Source organism: Homo sapiens, chromosome 19, assembly GCF_000001405.40.
Source record: "Homo sapiens chromosome 19, GRCh38.p14 Primary Assembly".
NCBI lineage: Eukaryota > Metazoa > Chordata > Mammalia > Primates > Hominidae > Homo > Homo sapiens.
In genome coordinates this window covers 43,006,723-43,031,665 of record NC_000019.10, presented here as the reverse complement: position 1 = coordinate 43,031,665, position 24,943 = coordinate 43,006,723, and the positions used below count along the sequence as shown (strand labels likewise).

Below are 24,943 nucleotides of genomic sequence, written 5' to 3'. Positions count from 1 at the left end.
TATCCAGAGGCCTCACCATCTCCCTATGATGCTGTGCTTCAGTGGTCACGCTCCTAGTCCGCCTTCATGTTCCATCCTGTACACTTGCCTCTGCCGTTTAGTTAGCAGTAGCAAATTAGTGAAAGTACTAAAAGTCTGTAATAAGCAGAAATAATGCTGTAAGCTCTCTCTCTCTTTCTTCTTTCTCTCTCTGCCTTGGCTGCCAGGCAGGGAAGGGCCCCCTGTCCAGTGGACATGTGACCCATGTGACCTTACCTATAATTGGAGATGGCTCACACTCCTTATCCTGACACTTTGTCTTGTATCCAATAAATATCACCACAGCCTGGCATTTGGGGCCACTACCGGTCTCCGCGTCTTGGTGGTAGTGGTCCCCCGGGCCCAGTTGTCTTTTCTTTTATCTCTTTGTCTTGTGTCTTTGTTTCTACAATCTCTCATCTCTGCACATGGGGAGAAAAACCCACCGACCCTGTGGGGCTGCTCCCTACACCCACTGCACAGAGACATAAAGAAGTTGAGATGTATACACCTCCCCCAACAACATTGTATCCCAAAACAATGTCCTCTCTGCCCCTCATCGTGGAACTCACTGTCTCTCACCACGTGGGCAAGTGCTTCCAGGGTCTCACAATTCTTCCACAAGAGGCAAGGCACACTTTAACATAGCACTTCAGCAAATAAAGTGGTGACAGTTTACCTACTTAGATAAAGTTTTTTAAAAGGCTCTCCCAAATTTCCCCATGAAGAAGACAGAAAAGGCTTTCCCAATGGTGAAACATTCGCCTCCCCACCTTTCAAAAAAGGATCCCTGAATAGCCAAAAGAATCTTGCCAAAATAAATTGTAGGACTTGAACTTTCTTATTTGAAATCTCACAAAGGAGTACAATTATTAAAACAAGCTGCTGGCAAAAGAATGAACATAAAGACAAATGGGATAGAATTGAGAGTCTAGAAGCAAACCCTCACACTTATGGTCAATTAGTCTTTGAAGAGAGTGTCAAGACAACTTAATGGAGGAACAATTCTCCTTTCTAATGATAGTGCAGAAACAACTAGATAACCACATGCAAAACAGTGAATTTAGATAACTCTACCTCACACCGTATCAAACAATTCCCTAAAAAATTGATCAGTGAGTTAAATATAAGACCTATAACCATAAAAACATCTCAAAGTAGACATAGAGGTAAATATTGATGACCTCAAATGTGCAATGGATTCTTAGATATGATACAAAAGCATGAGAAAGAAGAAAAACAAGATATATTGGGCTTTATCAAGATGTGAGCATTTTGTACATCAAAGGAAATTATCAAGAAAGTAATTAATAGACACAGAATGAGAGAAAATATTTGCAAACCACATATAGGCAGTTTTCATGTTCAGATAATATAAAGAACTAGCTACAACTCAATAAAGAAAGGACAAATCATCCAATTTATAAATGGGCAAAAGAGTCAAATAGACATTTCTTCAAAGAAGATATACAAAGAGTCAAGAAGGACATGAAAAGATACTCAACATCATTAGTCATCAGGAAAACACAAAGTCAAAGCTGCAATGAGACACCACATCACATCTACAAAACTGGTTACCATTCTTTTAAAATGTTAAATAACAAGTAGCAGTATTATGTAGAATTTGGAATCCTCATATATTGCTCGTGAGAATATAAAAAGGTACAGCCTCTAGGAGAAACAGTTTTGCTGTTCCTCAAAAAGCTAATCATATAATTCTCATTTGAAACAACATCCATTCCTAGGTATATACCCAAAGAATTAAATCCAGGACTCAAACAGGTACTTGCATGATAGTGTTGATTGCAGCATTATTCACAAAAGATTAAATATGAAAACAATCCAAGTGCTCATCAATGCATGAATAAATAAATATGGTGACACATACAACAGAATGTTAATCTGCCATAAAGAGGAATGAAGCTCTGACACCCACTGGAACATGCATGGACTATGGAAACATTATGCTAAGTGAAATATGTCAGAAACAAAATAACATCATTGTATAATTCCATTTATATGAAACATCAAGAATAGGCAAATTCATAGAGACAGAGTAGAGATGATCAAAGTCTAGGGTGGAACATACAGGGAGGTATTGTTTGAAAGATACAAAGTTTCAGTTTAAAGTGATAAAAATTTTCTAGGAAAAATAGTGGTGATGGTAATTTAACACTGTGTATGTGGTTAATTTCACTTGATTGTGCATCTTAAAGTGGTTAGAATAGCACATTATTCACAGAACTGTGAAAAATAGATTTCTGTTATGTAATTCACCCAGGCTAAGGCATTTGTTATGGCAGCTGAAGCCCATGAATACATCATCTGACCCAGTGTTTCAATGAAAGGCATGAGTTTTTCAATCAAGTTACCTGGAAGCTCCTGTCCCCAGGAGTACCAGAGGCCCCAAAACAAGAGCTCCAGCAGAGGCTCAACCAGCACAGGTCCCATAGGGCAGCCTCAATGTCAGCCTCTGGATGGCATGTGAGGCTACAATGATACAACCACAAAGTGAAAATGTCAGTATTTTTACTACTTACAGACACTAGGGAGCACTCGGCACACCTGGAGACCGCAGACACAGAGTTCAGTGAGCCCAGGCAGGGAGGAGAGAAGAGACTGGTAAGCCAATGGCTTTATTAAGTCCAGGGTGTTATATGACAGATTTCCAGCAGGGAGCTTTAATGGATGTGTTCAAAGAAAGCAGCAAACACTGGGACCAGGAGCTCACGCTGTGACTGAGAGGTGGTCACTTTAAATATGAGGGCGAATGTCAGAATTATCAGTTTAAAGAAAGCAGCTGGAGAGAGGGGAGTCCAGCACACCAAGCAGGAGAGATGCCTCTAAGATTTTATCTCTGGACACCAACTGGAGCCACCTGAACCAGATACAGTATTGAAAACTGCCATGGTGACCAAGCCCTGCCTCTGATTTGAGGCAAATAAACTTACAACTTAAAAAATGAATGCCAAGGCAACATGACACTATGAGCATCATGACATCCAGGGACACCAGCAGGGTGTGGTACTGTGCCCTGGAGTCAAAATCGTGGGTTCTGGTCCCTGGGAGAAAATGAAAATGATGTCCCTGCCCCCCTGACATTGATCTTCCCACCCTGCTGCTCCGTCTTCTTCTCCCAAGCCCAAGTGCAGCGCTCAGCCCCAGACATCACTGCCCCCAGGGTATACACAGTGCCGCCTACTGCACACAAACACAAACTCACAGAAAGTGACAAACATCTGCGTTTGGGATATCTGATCGTGAAAGAGGGAGAACAGTGAACGTAGAGCCACACAGACTGGGACTCACGGGGCTGGAAGGTGAAGGAGCTATAACATAACATATGTGTGACCTTGTGTGAAGTGTGCAGATCCACGTAGAATAAAACATGCAGCCTGGCCTGGGATTGCTGCCGTTCACACTTCCCTCCCTGTCCACCAGAAGGCGACAGAGTCCCTCCCGGCCTGGAGTCTTCCCAAGGGATGCCAACCGCCCTCAGCGGAACCCACAGCCCAGCAGGGTCCACCCTCACCAGGGTCACTTCGGACTAAGTCCTCAGCGCCCTCCATGCTCCCCACAGGGTCTCTGTCAGCTCCTCCCTGACCTGGGGGCCACCAACCTAACACCACTCCCCCTACAGGTAGTTCCTGCCCCACACACCTGCTCCTTCCCTGGGCCCAGCTAAAGGCATCTCCCAGGGCAGCGCTGGTGCACGCGATGCCACACTGGGCGCTTTCCCCTCGTGACCTCCCTCCATCAACATCAACTCTTTCTGTCACTGCTCCCTAAATGCCCACCCCTGCTCCATCTGTCCTGTTCACTGGGGCATCCCAGGCCAAGCTTAGCGCTGACACAGAATAGCGGCTGCCTGAGGGCCCACAGCCTCACCGGGAATCAGCCAGGCACCCTGTGACCTGCCTGCTCACTGAACCCCGGAGGGCTCAGAGCGCGTGTGATGGTCACACACAGGCACCATCCGGGATGTGGCCACCTACCCCCAGCTGTCTCTTGGGAAGACAGACGTCTCCCGTGTGCTTGCGGGGAGAAGGGGGGTGTTATTGCTCTTTGCTCCCAGAACACAACTCACCCCCACCCGCCCTCTCAGGTGTGAGCTACGTCCCTCCAGACAGGATCTCTGGCCACTGCCTGTTCCTCCTCTACACACAGCAGCTTGGCCAGGTCAAAACCCTCAGGACAGACCCCTGGGTATCTCAGCACATGGAGGGCTGAGCCCATCATGGCCACGGAGTAAGTCGGGATGAATCTCTCCAGCTCTGAACCCCTGCTCTGTCCCAGGCTCCTCCTCCTGCGTCTCAATAAGTCATGTCCCGCGGGATTCCTGGGTAACTCCCCACTTCCTCCTGCACCACCACGGGGAAGGTGTGGTGACCACAGGACAATCAGCTCGGCAGAGAAGAAAGGACATCAAAGATTGTCAGGAAGAACATGAGAAACCAAGAGCTCCAGCTCAGCTGCCAGACCCCATGGAGTCACAGAGTGACCGAGAACTTTCCCTTTGACTATGGGACTCACAGCCCCCACTGAGCAACCAGCACAGGCCTCTCCTCCCAGGAGGCATGAAAGATTCACCCTGCACACCTCCAGGAAGGACAGTTTCCTCTGGGAAACCCAGGTCCTCAATGTCCATCCTTGGAAGCTGCAGCCAAGCTAGACACGATTGGAGAAAAGAAGGGTCCCTCTCACCAGGCAACACACAGCTCACCCACAGCACAATGGGGTGTCACTCTGACAGGGACCTGGTGCAGCTCCAGCCTCCTGCACTGAAGGGGAGAGCCAGACGGGGATGAAAGAGGGCAAAGGGTGTGAATGTGCACCCCGACCAAGAGCAATGGGGACAGCAGGAGGCTGAGGCCCAGGACTCTGCTTGCCCAACCTGCAGGGTATGTGTCTGACTGTGTGGGTCTGTGTGTGTCTCTTCTGTGTGTGTGTGTATGTGTGTGTCCGCACAAAGTGTGTATTGAGGTTTGGTGAAAGAATCACTGCTGAAAAAGGCAGAGGCCTCCACAATTCCCAGGGACCTGAAACACAGACAAAAGGAAAAACAGAAGGAGGGACAAGGAGGCAGGGCTGAGAGAGGAGGGGACAGAGAGGTGTCCTCGGCCTGACCCTGCCCATGAGCTTGAGAAGTGCTCCTTCCACCGGGAAGAGTCTCAGCGCAGAAGGAGGAAGGACAGCACAGCTGACAGCCGTGCTCTGGAAGCTTCTGGATCCTAGGCTCATCTCCACAGAGGAGAACATGCACGCAGCAGAGATCATGGGGCCCCTCTCAGCCCCTCCCTGCACAGAGCACATCAAATGGAAGGGGCTCCTGCTCACAGGTGAGGAGAGAACTTCCTGGGAGAGGACAGGAGGAGGAAGCAGAGTGACTGGATGGGGTCTCCTGGAGAGGCTCCTGGGGTTCTAAAAAATAAAAAAGCCAGCATTTAGGGAGGCTGAGGTGGGTGGATCACGAGATCAGGAGTTCAAGATCAGTCCAGCCAACAGAGTGAAGCCCTGTCTCTTCTAAAAGTACAAAAAATTAACCAGGTATGGTGGTGTGCTCCTGTAATCCTAGCTACTCAGGAGGCCAAGGCAGGAGAATCACGTGAACCAGGGTGGCGGAAGTTGCAGTGAGCTGAGATAGTGCCACTGCACGCCAGGCTGGGTGACAGTACGAGACTCCATCTCAAAAAAAAAAAAAAAAAAAAAAAGAGAAAAAAAAAAAAAAAAAGGAAAGAAGGCCCTGTTGATGCCTGGATAGGGGAAAATACACCCAAGAGGGACAGGGGTCAAAACAGGAAAGTCACATTGAACCGGAATTGGTAAGAGGTAGGAAACAGGTGTTCTGTTTTCCTGATTAATCATCAGGGGCCACCACATTTTGAAAAATGATAATAATAACTATATCAGATGACACTACAAATAAAAATAAACAGGGCATGAAACACTGTCCTCAATAAAAAACCTCAACAATTGGGGAAAAAAAAAAAAACACCCAGGGCGTGGACGGCCCTGAGAACTCTCACATCTACAGGAGTCTGCAGCCTGTTCCAGGCACTGGGGTGCAACCAAGATCACAAAAGTCCCTGTCCTCACGGAGCTCATGCTGCCATGGGGAGGAAGTCAGACATGCAAAGAGATCTAGAATGTGAGGTCAGGTGTTGACAAGAACCCTGGAGGGAGCAGAGCAGGGAAAGGTCAGAAAGGGAAGACCCAGAGTCCCTGAAGGAGGTGTCAGGAAAGAAGTCTAAGGATGCCCTGATGTGAGCAGGACCTGAGGGCAGTGTGGAGGGGGCCATGCGGACCCCTGGGGAAGAGGATTCCAAACAGAAAAATGCCAAGGTCAGAAGTGTTGAAGGAATGGGGGTCATGCTGCTGACCTTGACCTAGTAGGACAGTAGAACACACACACATACACATACACAAACACACATGCCCCTTTTCTGTGTGTGTATGTTTGTATGTGTGTGTGTGTGTGTGTGTGTGTCTTCAAGGCTGAGGATTGAAGAGACCTTCTCAGGACTCAGGGCCCCATCTTTTCACCCCAATACATAGGTCTCAATATTGACTGATGCTCTCTCCACCTCCTAGCATTACTTTTAAACTTCTGGAACTTGCCTACCACTGCCCAAGTCATGATTGAAGCCCAGCCACCCAAAGTGTCCGAGGGGAAGGATGTTCTTCTACTTGTCCACAATTTGCCCCAGAATCTTACTGGCTACATCTGGTACAAAGGGCAAATCAGGGACCTCTACCATTACATTACATCATATGTAGTAGACGGTCAAATAATTATATATGGACCGGCATACAGTGGACGAGAAACAGTATATTCCAATGCATCCCTGCTGATCCAGAATGTCACCCGGGAGGACGCAGGATCCTACACCTTACACATCATAAAGCGAGGTGATGGGACTAGAGGAGTAACTGGATATTTCACCTTCACCTTATACCGTAAGTGATTCCACATGATCCCTGGGTGTTGGGGGACAGGGGTCACTTCTACATCACACACACAGGATTGTCAGGCCTGGACATTGCCTGTGTCCCTCTCTGCATTATGTCCCATGCTGGGGTTTGGGCATTTAGTGCAGGACACACACAGAGGAGACAAATTTCAACAGATCAGAATTCCTTTCCCGCATCCAGACCCTGCAGACACTCGCTGCAGAGGAAGGACAGTCTGATGGGGGGACTCAGCAGGAGGAGATCAGTCTCAGCCAAGCACCTCATGCCCTCTTCATAAATTTGACCCTGAGAAAGACCCTGGAGAACTGAGTAGAATTTGACCTGAGGGGCCCCTGAGATACTCTCAGAGAAGCTCAGCCCTAGAAGCCTCAAACCCAGAACTCTGTACCTAAATCCTTGTTCCAGATAAAGCTGAGGAGCCTGTTCCAGGGCTGGGTTGTGGCTTCTTGGGCAGGGCTTACTGGGACCAAGAATTTACCAGCTGTCTGAGGACTGTGTCTCCTGGAGCTGTTCACCAGCCAGGGCTCAGCCCTCAGAGCCTCATCTGGGCAAGGACAGAGCTTTCTTCACCTGACACTCAGAGTGGAGAGGACAGAAAGACAAGCTTTGTAGGTCATCAGCCAACTGCCTTAGGAGGCTTAGGACAGTCCATAGAAAGTCTAATGTCCTCAGAAGCAGAAACAGAAGAGAGAAGATGTACCTGGTAGCAGCTTGTCCACAGGGATCTGACGTAAAGGTGCTTTCTCATGGAAGCAAATTAATAATAAATGCTGCTTGTGTGAACACCTCCACTGTGCCAAGCATTAGGTCAGGTGACTGTGAATAATTTAACATTTATTCACAGATAGCATGAAAAGCCACAGTCCATTTGCCATTTAACTTATCTGATTGAGAGAAAACTGAGGCACAGGAAGGCACAGTCACTGAATCAGAGTCACACAAACGCAAAGGGGAGATCAGGGTCACATGAGGTCTGTCTGCAGCCACAGGCCCATCCTCTCCTCCACCAGAAGTGAGGGCTTACTGGGTTCCAAGCACCCCATAGTCATTTATTGGCTCAAATCCTCTCTTCTTAGGCATCCAAACCTCAGAGGAGTGAGAGCAAATGGTCAGCTGATTAGTCTATACTCCAGAACTAAATCACCTGCTTCAACCATCAAAGTCAGTGCAAAAAAAATGTCCAGGCCTCCCCCTCAGATCTTAACCCCCATCACTGAACCTGAAACTCTGTGTTTCCCAAAGTGTCCATGTCACTGTCATGAGAGGATCAAGGAGAGGACCTTGTTTTCTTTCCCCACTCACTCCCTACACCAGCACAGGCCCAGCGAGAGACACACACTCAGGAGCTCTCACATAACAAATGAAGGAATGGAATGAAGAAATGAATGATCCAAAACCTCTTTAGAGACTGGATCTTGAATGCAGAATCCTAGGAGGTTCTAGCCACACCTGTCCCTTGTCCTTCAGAGGCTGACACCCATGTTTCATCCCCCCACTACCTCTTGCCCCTAAAGCCACCCCACCTCATGTAACTCTGAAGCTCTTTGGCCACCAGAGGGTTCTCGGGGCTCCTTGGTCCTGGACTGTGGAACTGGGGGCAGCTGGTTCCTGGGGGCTCTGAAGTCAGTGTCTCCCTCACTGCTCACTGCCATGGTGTCTCTGCCTCTCTCTGCTTCTCTGTGTCCCTCATCTTCCTCCCACTTCATTCTGACTGGCAAGCCCTGTCCTGCACAGCTTCTTCCCCCACCCCTAGGCCTTCCCCAGACACTCCCTCTAACTAGGCTGGCTGTTCTATTCCCTTCCCGCTAACACTGTGGCCTGGCCCACCTCCCAGGAAATAGGAAAGGTGCAGAAATCACCTGGAGTTGCCACTCCTGCCAGGCTTCATCTCGAGCCAATGTCCCCAGGTCACTAAGAGAATGAGCTTCCACTGTATTCCCATCAAGGGCTCTTCCCCTTTGTGAGGCTGACCTGTGGACAAGACCATGGGACAGGGATAGGAAGTCCCTCCAACCACTCTTATCATTGTCAGACAAGTTCTTCTGGCCTCCTGCACACACACACACAAACACACAAATTTATTGAAATGGTGATTTTTAGTAAAGAAAGATTTTAATGACTCCAAGTCTGCCAAACAGGAGGACAGAGGTTTATTATTACTGAAATCAGCCTCCCCAGTGGATCAGGGCTTAGAGATTTTCAAGGATAGTTTCAGGGGCACAGGACTAAAAAATGAGTACTGCTGATTGTTGGTGATGGAATCATGCGGGCGGAGGGAAATGATCTGTTTGTGCTTGAATCTGCCTCTAGGTAGGGACCACATGACGGGCTGAGCCATTAGTCATAGGTATGGATGAGGTCAGCTGGTTGCCAGAATGCAAAAGAATGAGAAGCATCTCAAAAGACCAATCTCACGTTCTACAATAGTGATGTTATCTATAGGAGCAATTAGTTACAAATTTTGTAAACCCTTGCCAAATGACATTGCAGCAGTCAGGGATTATAGAAACTGTGCATACATTTTAGCAGAATTCAGTTCCCTCTTATAATCTAAATCTCATGGTCTTTCACTAGTTTGACAAAGGCAGTCCCTGGGCAAAGTAAGGGTGTTAGTTTTATGGAGGAACTATTATCATTCTTGCTTCAAAGTTAAACCATAAACTAAATTTCTCCCAAGGTTAGCCTTGTCTATGTGCAGGAATGAGTGAGGACAGCCAGCCTGAGACTAGATGCCAGATGGAGTCAGCCATGCTAGTTTGCTGTCACTGTTGTAATCTCTGCACTGACTCACCAGGGTGTCAGAGGCTGGACAGGCCTGCAGTCTCCAAAGCCCATGAGCTCATTTCACCTGTTTCACTCATGACTCCATCGTCAACGTGCTATGGAGCTTACATTCTCTGATCACTTCCTAGAGACTTCTGGCTTCGTGTCAGGCATATGACAAGCTTGAAATTTGTCACTCGGTTCTAACACTAAGTAAAAAGCTGAACAAACTCAAAAGTCAACAACTCATTAAAATCCCTTTGAGATGGCTGGGCACAGTGGCTGATGCCTATAATCGCAGCACTTTGGGAGACTGGGGCAGGCACAAGGTCAGGAGATGGAGACCATCCTGGCTAACATGGTTAAAGCCCATCTGTGCTAAAAATACAAAAAATTAGCTGGGCATGGTGGTGGGCACCTGTAGTACCAGCTACTTGGGAGGTCGAGGCAGGAGAATGGTGTGAACCCGGGAGGTGGAGCTTGCAGTGAGCTGAGATCATGCCACTGCACTCCAGCCTGGCAGAGCAAGAGTCTCTCTCAGAAAAAATAAAAATGCTGTAAGAGAAATGAAGAATTCTTTTGATGCTTACTGGTAGACTGCACACAGCTGAGGAAGGAATCCCTAGCTTGAGGATGTGTCAATAGAAATTTCCAAAACTGAAACAGGAAAGTCCAAAAAGAGTAGGGAAAAAAAGTGGATCAACATATTCAACTTCATATTTAATATTTTGTTTTGACAATAGCATTTTTAAAATTTTGTAGCTGTGGGACAACTACAAAGGCTGTAACACATACTTAAGAGGAATACTGGTGGTTTTGGGGACTAGTTGGAGGTGGCCAGGTGGGTGCTATCTGATGGTTTTACTGCCTGTGCCACATACAACTGTTTCCTCATGATGATGCCGTTTTCATAAGTTGGAGTTCTTCGTGTGGGGAGACACATGAGCCATTGGCATCTCACTTAGACTCCTTCTAATTCACACAAACTTAAACTCTAGTGGTGTTTCCTGAGCTTAACAGAAAATGAAGAAAGCATTTCACATACCTGTTTTGGGGTCCTCCCCATTTTTCCTAACTGCACAGAAATTAGAAGCAGGAAGTTCTTTCTATATTTACTAACATAACACACATCACTTCTTTTAATTTGGCATCCTTCCTCCTTTTATGTAATTGATGCACTGACCAGTTCTGTCCTTTTAACGGGACTCTCTCTACTTAAGGAGCTGCTAATTTCAAATCACCTTTGGCATCTTTCTTTGAGCATAATGTGATCCTGCTGGAATTCATGGCACACCTAAACCTTATGTTGGTCTCAAGAGAAATACTACTACCAGCAATTGATCTTAGATGTTTAGACCATCAGTAAAAATTTCCACTTATGAAAACATTTTAATGTTTCCTCCAAATTTTTTTTTTGTTACTAGAGTCAGAACACAACATGAGGTCTAATCTCCTGACAACTTTTTATGGGATAATTACAGTATTAAATATGGAGCATCCCAAATCCAGAAATCCACAATCTGAAATGCTCCAAAACTTTACACTTCTGACCACTGATGTGATGCTAAAAAGAAGTGCTCACTGGCGCATTGTGGATTTTAAATTTTTCAGATTTGGGATGCTAAACCAGTACATGTACTGCAAATATTCCAAAATAAAAAAAATTAGAATTCCAAAACACTTTGTTTTAACCTTTCTGCATAAGAAGCACTTTATCTGTATGAACTATAGGCATGAATCTGTACAGGAGATCTCTAGAACCTCCTCGTCCTGCATAACTGAAACCGCACACCCACGGAACAACACCCAATTCCCCTGATCCCAGCTCCTGGAAACTACTATTCTACACTCTGATTCACTCTGGAATCCACTGATATCAGGTACATAGAGTAGTCAAACTCAGAATCAGAGGGTAGAATGTCTAATGAGAGAAAGTATCTGCAAGACTTCTTCCCAAATATTGGTCTAATATCTACCAAACACATATGGTCCATGAGGGCCAGACTTCCATCATCAGTTCATGTTTGCCCTTTCCACCAGTCAGTTCTGCATTTGCAAACATCCACATGTATTTCCAGAAAGATCCACATGGTCCTCACCTGCCCTCTACTGGGGGAAGGGAGCATCATAGACCCACAACAGGGAACATGGTCTTGGTTCAAAGCTATCAGCTCTTGCCTGTCCCCTTCACTCTTTGTAGGTCATTCCTTGGACTCTGCTCTATCTTTAGAGGTCACTGGCTCAAGTCAGTCACTATGAGACACCTGGGAAAACTGCCCCACCTTGTGGCTGCACTGCCTGATGACTGAACTGACCTCCAGGCTTGACTCTGGTCTCCCCTGTGTTATTTCTGCTGAAGTACCCAGTCCCAGGCCAGGCTTTCCAGTACCCAAAGGGTTTAAGGACAATGGGAAGTTCCATCATCCATCTCTAGGATGTCCTTGGCAAGGGAAGCTGCAGAGAAAACATACCTTGGGGGGAAAAGTAAGACTGAAACTAAGAAGATTCCAGCACTGCATGCTCCAAGTCAGGACCAAAAGGTGGGCCAGGCAGGCAGTTGGAGATGGAGGGACTCAGAGAGGCACCAGGGGCTATGACTGCTGGTCCTGTGTCTTTCCATGACCCAATGCTGCTGCTCAATTCACACCTGAGAAAGTCTGTGCTTCTCCCACATAAAGCAGGCAGCCTCACAATCTCTTAGCCTTCAGAATGCCATGCATCTGTGTTGTAACACACACACCTGCCATGGGCTTTTAGGGACTCGGGTGGGCTGAGAGGTGGCAAATGCCAATTCTGATTGAAAAATGCCTTTGGAGGAATCAAAGGTGCCACACAGGGCAATCTTCTCTCTGTTTTCTGCACAGTGGAGACTCCCAAGCCCTCCATCTCCAGCAGCAACTTAAACCCCAGGGAGGCCATGGAGACTGTGATCTTAACCTGTAATCCTGAGACTCCGGACGCAAGCTACCTGTGGTGGATGAATGGTCAGAGCCTCCCTATGACTCATAGGATGCAGCTGTCTGAAACCAACAGGACCCTCTTTCTATTTGGTGTCACAAAGTATACTGCAGGACCCTATGAATGTGAAATATGGAACTCAGGGAGTGCCAGCCGCAGTGACCCAGTCACCCTGAATCTCCTCCGTGAGTATCTTCTGTTCCTCTGTGAGCCAGGCTGCCATCCCAAATACACATGGCCAGAGGCCAGGCCTCTCAGTCCCTCTCAGGTCCAAGTACAGAGACCTTTACCACTGGACATCAAAGCTGGCCATGACTTTCTGCCCCAGACAAACCACAGTAGGCCTAGGCTTGATCCACAGTGGGAGAAAAGAGGCTGCTCCTGTCATGGGAGGCTCAGGGTCCACAGATTGTGATGGGAGAAACAGGTGAATGTCTCAGGCTCCAGATCAGTGAACACAGCGAGGATTTGGCTGGGACTTCAGTCTTGCGACTTGGCTCACAGGGTCACTGTGGCCCTTCCACAGACCAGGATTTTCCCTTCCCTCTGACAATGTCACCTGTGACTTTATTCTCTTTGCTCCAGATGGCCTGGATGCCCTCACCATTTCTTCCTCATACACCTATTACCATACAGGGGAAGTCCCCAAGCTCTCCTGTCTCATAGACACTCACCCACTGGCAGAGCATTCTTGGCTGATTGGTGGGAAGTTCCAGCAATCAGCACAAGTGTTCTTCATACCCCAAATCACTAAAACATATAGAGGGGTCTATGTCTGTTTCATCCATAACTCAGCCACTGGTGGAACAAATCTCATAATCAAGAGGATCATAGTCCCTGGTAAGTGGATCCCTGGAGCATTGGCACTATGTTTTCCAGGGAAGTCTATCTAGCTATCAGGGAAGAGCCACCTGCCCTCTGCAAAGGGAGAGGGAAAATCAAAAACCCAGGACAGGGAATATGTTTCTGCTCCAAAACCACCAGCATTTGCCTGTCCCCTTCACTCTTTCTAGATCATTCTTTAGACTATACACTAACAATGAACAATCTGAAAGGAAATTAAGGAAAGAATTTCAATTCACATTAACATGAAAAGGAATAAAATATTTTGGAATAAGTTTAACCAAAAAGGTCAAATGATTATACCTTGAAAACTACAAAACATTGCTGAAAGAAATTAAAGACAATATCATTATATGGAAAGACACTTCATTTTCATGGACTGGAAGAATCAATATTGTTAGAAAGACAATACTACCCAAAGTGAGTTGCAGATTCAATGCAACCCCTACTAGAATCCCAGTAACATTTTTTGCAGAATTAGAAAACTCTGTCCTAAATCTGACCTGACAGGCACTTATTAATGACTGCCACAACAGAAACACTGTGAAAAAGATGCAACCATGAAAAGGTGGAAAGTTTTGATGACATAGAAAATAGCAATCAGCCTTTCTCACATCCCAAAGCCTTCAAATATATATGAGTGCAGCATGGCCAGTATGGAATTCACCGAAAACTAATCACCAAGCTAGAAATGTGGTGAGAGAAAAAAAAGGGCAAGAATATATTTGGCTTATCACTTCCCACTTTTGTCTACTAATCTGATGCTGAAAAGAAATTCTCACTGAAGCATTTTAGATTTTGAATCTTTCAGATTTGGGATGCTAAACCAGTAAGTATATGACAAATATTTCAGAATCAAAAAATGTCAGAAATCCAAAACACTTTTTGTCCTAAGTCTTATGCATAAGAAATAATCTGTGTGAACAATACGCATCAAGCTCTACAGCAGATCTCTAGAAACTCCCCAACTTGTATAACGGAAACTGCACACCCATGAACAACTTCTGATTCTCCCCACTCCCAGCTCCTGGCAACCAGCAGTCTCTTCTCATATTCACTCTGGAATCCATTTACATGAGGTCCCTAGAGTAGTCGAACCCAGGGGATCAGAGAGTAGAATATCCAATGAAAGAAACTACTTGCAAAACTTTTCTCCAAATTTGTCTCATATCCATCAAACACATATGGTCCATGAGGACCAGATTTCCAGCAGTTCATTCCCACCCTTTCCACCAGTCAGTTCTGCATTTGCAAATGTCCACATGTATTTCTGGAAAGATCCACATGGTCCTCACCTGCCCTCTGCAGAAGGAAAGGAAACTTAAAGGACCCAGGACAGGGAACATGGTTCTGCTCCAAAGCCACCAGCTCTTGCCTATCCCCTTCACTCTTCCTAGATCATTCCTTGCGCTCTGCTCTATCTTTAGAGGTCACTGGTTCAAGTAAGTCATCATGAAACACCTGCAAAACACTGCCCCACTTTCTGCCTCCACTGCCTGATGACTGAACTGACCTCCAGGCTTGACTCTGGTCTCCCCTGTGTTATTTCTGCTGAAACATCCAGTCCCAGGCCAGGCTGCTCAGTATCTTCAGGGTTTCAGGACAATGGGAAGTCCCATTATTACTGATCTCTAGAATGTCCTTGGAAATGGAAGCTGCAGAGAAATCACATCTAGGGGGGCAAAGTAGGATGGAATTTGGAAGGGGCCCAGCAGTTGCACATTCCAGGTAAGGAACCCAAGGTGAGCCAGCCAGTCAACTGATTATGGAGGGACTGGGAGGGGTACCAGGGGCTGTGACTCCCACTGACGTATCTGTCCATGACCCAACACTGCTGCTCAATTGACACTTCAGAAAGTCTGTGCTTTCCTAAGATGAAGCAGGCGGCCTCACAGTCTTTGAGCCCTTAGATCATCATGCATCTGTCTTGTGACACACGCACCAGCTATTGGCTTTCAAGGACTCGGGTGGGCTGAGAGGTGGGAGATGCCAACTCTGATTGAAGGATGCCTGTGGAGGAATCAAAGGTGCCACACAGGACAATCTTCTCTCTGTTATCCACACAGCAAAGCTGCCCATGCCCTACATCACCATCAACAACTTAAACCCCAGGGAGAATAAGGATGTCTTAACCTTCACCTGTGAACCTAAGAGTGAGAACTATGCCTACATTTGGTGGCTAAATTGTCAGAGCCTCCCGGTCAGTCCCAGGGTAAAGCGACCCATTGAAAACAGGATCCTCATTCTACCCAGTGTCACGAGAAATGAAACAGGACCCTATCAATGTGAAATACGGGACCGATATGGTGGCATCCGCAGTGACTCAGTCACCCTGAATGTCCTCTGTATCTTTTGTTCCTCTGTGGGCCAGGACACCAGCTTAAATCCAAACGACCAGGGGCCAGGCCTCTCAGTCTCTCTCCGGTCCAAGTACAGACACCTTTACTTTTGGACATCCGAGGTGGCCATGACTCCCTGCCCTGGGAAAACTTGGGTAGACACAGCCTTAACCAAGAATATAAGGAGAGGGGATGCTCTTGTCATGGGAGACTTGGGGCCCACAGCTTGTGGTGGGAGAAACAGGTGAATACTTCAGGCTTCAGCTCAGTGAACATAGAGGGGGTTTGGCTGGGACTTGAGGGTGTGTCTTGGCTCAGAGGGTCACTGTGTCCCTTTAAGAGACAAGGAGCTTCCCCTTCCCTCAGATGACATCAACTGTGGCTTTATTCTCTTTCCTCCAGATGGTCCAGACCTCCCCAGAATTTTCCCTTCAGTCACCTCTTACTATTCAGGAGAGAACCTCGACTTGTCCTGCTTCGCAAACTCTAACCCACCAGCACAGTATTCTTGGACAATTAATGGGAAGTTTCAGCTATCAGGACAAAAGCTCTTTATCCCTCAGATTACTCCAAAGCATAATGGGCTCTATGCTTGCTCTGCTCGTAACTCAGCCACTGGCGAGGAAAGCTCCACATCCTTGACAATCAGAGTCATTGGTAAGTGGATCCCAGCATCCTTGGCAATAGGGTTTTAGGTGGAGTCTATCTAGCTTTCAGAGAAGAGTCAGGAAAACATTTTTATTCCCAGCCTGTGTCCCATGGGCACAGGCAAATCCCAAATTCTCCTCCTGAACCCTCCCAATTTGTCTCTACAGACTCTCTTCTCCTTTTTTTTCTGTTTTCTCATGACTGACCTTGTGTCTGGCCTGAGAAAGGTAGGGAGGGGGCTTTATCAGCCCTGAGCCCTATGTGGTAGAAGAGGCTTCACAGAGGGACAAGAAGGAGAGTGCTGAACATCGAGTTGCTTCTCACTGTCACCAACTCATCCCCTTCTGTCACGTCTTTGTTTTCTTGTACCTCTTCCATGAACTACAAGGAACATCTGAGGCTTTGAAACAAGCTCACACTTTTCCCCCAAATGAGAGGAGGAAGCCCCTTGGGTGAGGGAGGAGCAGCTCAGACTCTGCTTCCTGCTCTGCTCCGGGCTCCTCTGGTGACTGGCCCTGCCTCACTCAACCTGGGGTGGGACCAGCATGTGTGGAGAAAGAGTCCTGGTGGCCTGTCCTGAATTTGGCTAAATTGAGCTGCCAGTTCAAGCCAAGCCTCCCCCGGGCCAGGCTGCAAGGAAATAAGAAGAGAAGCAACCTCAGGGCAGACTCCTGAGCTGCGTCCTGGCTCTGAAGTCACTGGCTGTATGAGGCTGTGGGCACAGCACGTGGGACACAGCACTGAGTACAGTGACTGATGCAGAGCTGGAGAAATAGGAAGATTCACCCCTGGGGCTCTGCATGGCAGGAAAGGGGCAGTGCCAAAAAGTGTGTAATTATAGAGAGGGTAAGACTACCAGACACTATATATATCTAATATAAGGCTTACCATTAACTGTTTCTAAGTGTGCAATTTAGTGTTATGTAACCATCACACTATCCATTTCCAGAACTTTTTCCTCTTACCATATTAAACCTCTGTACCCAATAAACAGTAACTCTCACTCCTTCTCCCCCTAACACTTAGCACCCACCATTCTACTTTCTGTCTCTATGTAACTGGCTACTCTATCTTTTATAAATGGAATTATATAATAATTACCTTTTGTGTCTGGCTTATTTCAGTTAGCATAATATCTTCAAGGTTCATCCATTTTGCACGATATATTGGAATTTTATTCCTTGTTAAGTTTGAATAACATTTCAATGTATAGATACACCTCCTTTGCCTACACACTTATCTTTCAATGGACTTTTCAGTTGTTTCCATTTTTTGGCTAGTGTGAGTAATGCTTCTCTAAACATCAGTGTACAAATATTTGTTCAAATTTCTTTCAATTCTATGGGGAGTATGTCCAGAAGTGGAATTGCTGGATCAAATGGTAATTCATTGTTTAATTTTTTGAGAAACAGCACACCAATTTTTACAGTGGCTGTAACATTTCCCATTCCCATCAGCAATGCACTAGAGCTCCAATTTTTCCATCTACTTGAAAACACCTGTTGTTTTGTGTTGCTGTCATTGTTATTGTTTATCAAAACCATCCTAAATTTTGTGAGGTGGTGTAACATTGTGGTTTTGATTTGTATATCTCTAAGTATTCATGATGCTGAGGAACTTTGCATGGGCTTATTGGATATTTGTGTTCCTTCCTTGGATAAAACTCCATTTTAATCCTTTGTTCATTTTTTAATTGGGTTTTTGGATGTCTGCTGTTGTTGACTTGTAGCTTTTCATGTATTCTGGAAATTAATTTCTTATCACACATATAATTTGCAAATATTTTTATCATTTCATGGGTTGCCTTTTTACTTTCTTGATAATGTTCTTTGATATATAAAAGGTTTTGATTTTTGTGAAGTCCGATTTATTGATTTTATTTGTTGCCTATGCTTTTGTTGTTACAACCAAGGAATTATTGTGAAATCCAGTATCATGAAGCTTTTCTTCTAAGAGTTGTATAGTTTTTGCTCTCACATTTAGATCTATGATTTATTGTGGGTTAATTTTTGTACATGGTGTTAGGTAAAGGTTCCACTCTTCTTGCCCTTGGATATCCAGCTTTCCCAATACCATTTGGTGAGAACACTGTCCCTTCCCCATTGAATGATCTTGGCACACTCGATGAAAATCATTTGGCCATATATGCAAGCATTTCTTTCTGGGCTATGATATTTCATTAATTTCTATGTCCTCCTTTATGCCAGTACCACACTGTATTGATTACTGGGGCTTTGTAGTAAATGCTGAAATCAGGAAGTCTGAGTCCTCCAGCTTCATTCTTCCTCTTCAAAGCTGTGTGTCTATTTAGAGTCATGAGATTCAATATAAATTTTAGGACAGATTTTTCTTTTTCTGCAAAAATGTCACTGAGATTCTGAAGGAATTGCATTGAATCCACAGCTCACTTTGGGTAGCACTGTCCTCCTAACAATATTGAGTCTTCCAATTCATGAAAACAAAATGTCTTTCCATTTATTGATATTGTCTTTCATTTCTTTCAGCAATATTTTGCAGATTTCAGGTATAATCATTTCACCTCTTTGGTTATTCTTAAATATTTTATTCTTTTTGAGGTTAATATAAATTGAAATTATTTTTCTTAACTTCCCTTCAGATTGTTCATGGTTAGTGTATTGAAATACAACTGATGTTTGAATGTTGATTTTGTATTGTGCAACATTACTGAATTTATTTATTAATTCTAATAAGTTTGTTCCACCTTTAGGATTTTCTACATATAAGTTCAAGTTATCTGTAAACAGAAATAATTTTACTCCTTCCTTCCAATTTGAATGTCTTTTTTAAAATTCTTGCCTAATTTTTTTGACTAGACCTTTCAATACTATGTTGAATAAAAGTGTCAAAAGCAGGCATCCTTGTCTTGTTCCTGCTCATAGAGGGGAAGCTTTCAGTCTTTCTCCATTGAGTATGATGTTAGCATTGGGTTTTTCACATATTGCCTTTATGTTGAGGTGGTTTCCTTCCATTCTTAGAATGTTTTTCTTATGAAAAAATATTGAATTTCATCAAATGCTTTTATGGATTGAATCTTGTTACTGATTATAGTTTTATTCATATTTTTGTGTGTTTCTAGGAGTTTGTCTATTTCATCTAGGTTATCCAATTTATTGGCATACAATTATTTATAGTACTTTCATAATCATTATTTTATTATAATTGGTAGTAATCGCTTCATTTTTCTTTCTTTTTTTTTTTTTAAGAGAGAGAGACAGACTCTCACTCTGTAGGCCAGCCCAGGATGGAATACAGTGGTGTGATTATGGCTCACTGCAGCCTCAACCTCCTGGGCTCAAGCAATTCTCCTTCTTCAGCCTCCCAAGATGCTAGGACTACAGGTGCATGTCACCATGCGCAGCTAGTTGGCTTTTTAATTTTTTTGTAGAGACAGTATCTCCCCAGGTTACCTATGCTGGTCAAAACACCTGGTCTCAAGAAATCCTTCTGCTGTGACCTCCCAAAGTGCTAGGATTAAAACATGACCCACCATGCTCAGAGTCCATTTTCATTTCTGATTTGAGTAATTTTAAACTTTTCTCTTTTTTTCTTAGTCAATCTAGTTAATGGTTGTCAATTTTGTTGATTTTATTTTGAAGAATCAACTTTTGGTTTCATTAATTTCTCTATTCTTTTTCCATTCTCCATTTTATTTATATCAACTCTAATCCTTATTATTTCCCTCATTCACTGTGCTTGGGTTTAGTTTGTTCTTCTTTCATATCCTGAAGTGTTAAAGTAGGTTGTTGACCTGAGATCTTTCTTCTTTTTTAATGTAAGAGTTTACAGTTATAAATTTCTTGCACAAGACTCAACTTCTCTGAACCTCTGATTCCTCACCTGAAAATTGCAATGAGAGTGTTTTCTTCGTACCATTCTTTTAAAGGTTTCATGCAGTCAATGAAACAAGATGCCACATACAGAGGAACCAATGTCAGCTACTATATTACTATCATCATCATTAACCTTGAGGTCAAATAGTCCTAGAATCAAATCTCAGATCCACCTGTCACTAGCCATATGACACCAGGAAAGTTTTTACAGCACGCTAAGCTTCTGTCTTTTCATTGGCAAAATGGAAATAATGTCTACCTCACAGGGTTATTGTGTGGATTAAATGAGATACAGGTAAAGTATTTAGCACAGGGCCTGGCACATAGGAAGTGCCCCTCAACAGTACCTTCCTTTTTCCATATATATATATATATATATATATGGAAAAAGAGGTAACACATAAAACACTAGAACAAGGCTACTGACTACTTGTGGGAGAGAAAGATAAAGAGCTAACTGCAAAGAATCAAGCCTGGTATGTTAGTTTTTACCAACTGAGATGCATCCAAGACGGGATTAGACCTAAACGATAATTTATCACGGAAGACACCTGTGAGGGAATGTGGGGCAGGCATGAAGGTAGTACAGGAGAACCCACAGACCACTATGCAGAGCTGATTCCTGTGAAAAAGAAAGAGAAAGAAGTTTTAGGTACCAATGCAATTCTAAGAGTTTTTGCAAGGCTGATGAGGAATCCTCCAACCAGTCACCCATTAGCGTTAAAGAGAGCCTCAGAGAACTAGGCTTGCTTTCACACCCTTCCTGGGAGCCTGTAGGAAAGAAGCTTTCTGTGCAAAGGAGGTGGTGAATTTGAAATGCACTGACCTGGGCCTTCTGTCAATCAGGTCCCTGCCATGGAGATCTGACAGAGTCTCATTCATGACTGCCACAACAGAGACACTGAGAAAAAGATGCAACCATGAAAAGGTGCAAAGGTGACAAGTTCCAATGACATAGAAAATAGCAATCAGCCTTTCTCACGTCTGAAAGCCTTCCAAAATACCTGAGTGCAGTAGAGAATTGACAGAGGACTGATCACCAACTGAGAAACATGGTGAGAGGGAAAAAAAACTGCAAGAATATAATCATCTCCCATCAATTTTCCAACAGAAATAATGTAGTCCTTGAAGAAACAATTATACAGTATCTCATGTTACATGCTTGTTCCTGACGCTCCCCCATGTAAAATAACATCACCTTCATTCCTTCTTTTCTTTTCTTTCCATGACAGCTCCTCCAGGATTAGGAACTTTTGCTTTCAATAATCCAACGTAGCAGCCGTGATGTCATTTTTGTATTTCAGGAAGACTGGCAGGTATGATGACCTTTTCTCTTATCCTGGTTCCTGCAGGGCTGACTGCCATGCTTGGGAGAGGGAAATGACTTATTTGCCTGTATCTGGGCCTGGATCTCCTCCTTCATCCACTAACTCCTGCTTCTCAGCACTAATTCCTGCAGTTCCCTTTCTCCCTGGCCTTTATGCTCCCTGTACCCCACTGTCTTTTAGACATAATTATCTCCAGCCTCTGCTCATTTGTTTCTCAGATTCAAATGAGAAACACAATTTCACATGGTGAAACCTTCTTCATTATTTTTAACATATCTCAATAGTGTAATTCTCTCCATTCCCATAAAGCTCAACCACTTCTCAAAGTATTGCTTGACTTCTTGTCTCCAGACTTTGAAATGTTCCTTGCATATAACTGCCTCATTACCTTTCTAAAATCTAGTTAATTCACTTAATCAAGAATCTCCAGGGGTATACACTAGCCTATTTGATAAGTTCACATTTCTTCTATTTACTAAGCCTTCTCACTTCCTTTACCTCTACTTCCTAGTATAATTCCTCCATCCTAATTAGAACTGTCTTCCTACACATCCCTGCCCCTTCACCCATATAGACATAAAATTCTTAGTTCCAATGCTATGTCTAAAAACAGAGTGAAATCCCTTCCACCATCTGCACTGCAGACTTAACCACACCCTTCATCACAAGCAACATCTGACCTCGTGGAGAACAAAGACTTTAGGATTAACATGTGAACCTGAGACTCAGGACACAACCTATGTGTGGTTGAGATCTTTTCCTGATGATCAGTTCATGTGTTCAAAAAACATACAGAAATGAAGAAGGCAAGGGCCCCACCCCAGGAGACACAAAGCCTAAGACAGGAAATGAGACCTGAAAATAATCATGATACCAAAATAGAAAAAATTGAATGCCACAAGAAATCAGAGAAATCTGATGGGAAATAGAGCTACACATTGGAATCACTGGAAAACATTTTTAAAAGAGGATGCTCAAGCCCCACCCATTAGTTCCAGTTTAAAGGTCTGGAGACGGACCCAGGCATTGGTAATTTTTAAGTCTTCCCTGACACTACTAACATGTAACAAGGATGGAGAACTCTTGTTGCAATAGGTAGAACTTAAAACTAAATGAATGATTTTCAGCTAGAAGTACTGGAATTACCTAAGGATCTTTTTCAACATACATAAGACTATACCTTTTTGGCCCTATTTATGAATGGGCTACACCAAGAACTCAGTAATCCTCTTGAGAAACAGAAGCTGAATGGAAAAGCCACCTTATTTTATATATTACATTATATAGAAAGCATTTTCAAATAAGGGATAAGTGATGCTAAACCTTCTCTAAATAATATTTATGGGAATGTTAATAATATGAGTATTCTAGGCTGGGTGCGATGGCTCATGCCTGTAATCCCAGCACTTTGGGAGACTGAGGTGGGTGGATCATAAGGTCAGGAGATCCAGACCTTCCTGGCTAACACAGTGAAACCCCATCTCTACCAAAAACGCAAAAACAAAATTAGCTGGGTGTGGTGGCAGGCACCTGTAGTCCCAGCTACTCAGGAGGCTGAGGCAGAAGAATGGCATGAACCCGGGAGGCAGAGCTTGCAGTGAACTGAGATTGCACCACTGCACTCCAGTCTGGATGACAGAGTGAGACTCCATCTCAAAAAAAATTTAAAAAAATGAGTGTTCTAAAAATTATATGAAATTTCTGGAAATCAAATATGTTACCATAGTGTCATAAGCCACAGAAGTAACTAGATTTCTATGTGAGCTGTGTCTTTACCATAATAAATTCTCATTAGATTTTTAAACATAGTCATTTTAAATCTTTGTCATTCCCAGAAAGTTGCTTTGATTCTTCCTCAAAGTATTTAAAATCAGCTACAGTCCAAAATTGCTTTTTCTTCAAGGAGATTTATGGAAAAGACTATGAAAAGGACTCTTGAATACAAGTTCCTGATAACTTCAAGATCATACCACTGGACTAAGAACTTTCAAAATTTTGATGAACAGGCTGATACCTTCATGAAATTCAAGACAAAGAAGAAAAGAACTCCATTTCATTGGACTAAATAACAAAAGGATAATGTTTTCATAATTTTTTATTGGAAAATGTGCTGATTTTTTGAATGTTTTATCCTCCAGATTTATGAATTTTTTTCTTCAGCAATTGGTAAAGTATACTTTTGTAAACAAAAATTGAAACATTTGCTTTTGCTCTCTGAGTGCCCCAGAATTGGGAATCTATTCATGAATATTCATATGTTTATGGTAATAAAGTTATTTGCACAAGTTTAGTAAGAATCTGCTCTCTTTATAACAGGACACATTTGAAAACATTGGTTATATTACCAAGGCTTTGACTGGGATGTTATATTTGAGAATATACATAGAATAAACCCATAGGGAATGCAGGCAAAGTCTGAAGCGGGCCTTGGGTTGGCTTCCTAGTCTCAAGAGGTTTTTGGAAGTTTAATCTGAGATTCTTATTAAAAACTTCTAGCAAAGAGAAGTTTAAAAAGAGCCTCTATGGTCCCTTGCTACTCTTGCCGCACTTAGCTAAAAAATCTGGGCAAGTTCGGTGAGACTCAACCTATTTTGCAAACAAATTCATCCTACTGGAATTATCTTTGGTAAAAATAGAGACTCCTATAGACAGAAAAACTATGTTGAAAAGAAAAACTGTAGTACACCTGTTACCAGATTGAACCACTGTTCATTATCATTGAGTATTTATAATCCACTGGTAGACTGGACTGGACCCTGAATTCTTTTAGTTCTTCCAATTCAATTTTCTCCAATGAAATCATTAAGAACAAGAGTGGCTCTGTTCCTGAAGCCATATAAGTTGGAGGTGGACAACTCAATGTAAATTTCATGGGAAAACCCTCATGTCTGAGGTGTGGGCCACTAAGAGCTCACCAAATGTCCAACACCATAACTTAGAGACACTCAAACTGCAAACCACGACAACAAGTTGATGACTTTACACTGTGGACAGCTTTTCTCAAGATGTCAGAACAAGACTATCAATCATGATGAGACTCTTACCTCTCTGAATTTCTCCTTGCTTATGCCTGTCTCCTTTGCTTCCCAGAATAATGCTGTACTTAGGATTTCACAAGAAGTAGCTTCTGAGAGTAAGTTAACAGTGTCAGATATATCATGTCAACCACACTTTTTTTTTTTTTATAAGATGGAGTTTCACTCTTGTTGCCCATGCTGGACTG

At 43.9% G+C, this 24,943-nt stretch overlaps 1 protein-coding gene across 3 annotated transcripts; it reads left to right on the top strand.

Annotated features, from left to right (window-relative positions):
• The first annotated feature begins 5,196 nt into the window (after positions 1–5,196).
• PSG11 (pregnancy specific beta-1-glycoprotein 11) lies at positions 5,197–24,010 on the top strand. 3 transcript variants are annotated; one of them, NM_002785.3, is made up of 6 exons: positions 5,197–5,357; positions 6,610–6,975; positions 12,618–12,896; positions 16,296–16,550; positions 21,625–21,708; positions 23,624–24,010. In NM_002785.3, exons 1-5 carry the CDS (start codon positions 5,294–5,296, stop codon positions 21,666–21,668), a joined length of 1,008 nt encoding a protein of 335 aa, NP_002776.3. In that variant the 5' UTR covers positions 5,197–5,293; the 3' UTR covers positions 21,669–21,708; positions 23,624–24,010. The 3 variants fall into 3 exon arrangements, with proteins under 3 accessions (NP_002776.3, NP_001106881.1, NP_976032.2); NM_001113410.2 differs by lacking the exon at positions 6,610–6,975; NM_203287.2 differs by lacking the exon at positions 6,610–6,975 and having other exon boundaries at positions 23,556–24,010.
• Positions 24,011–24,943: the final 933 nt, after the last annotated feature.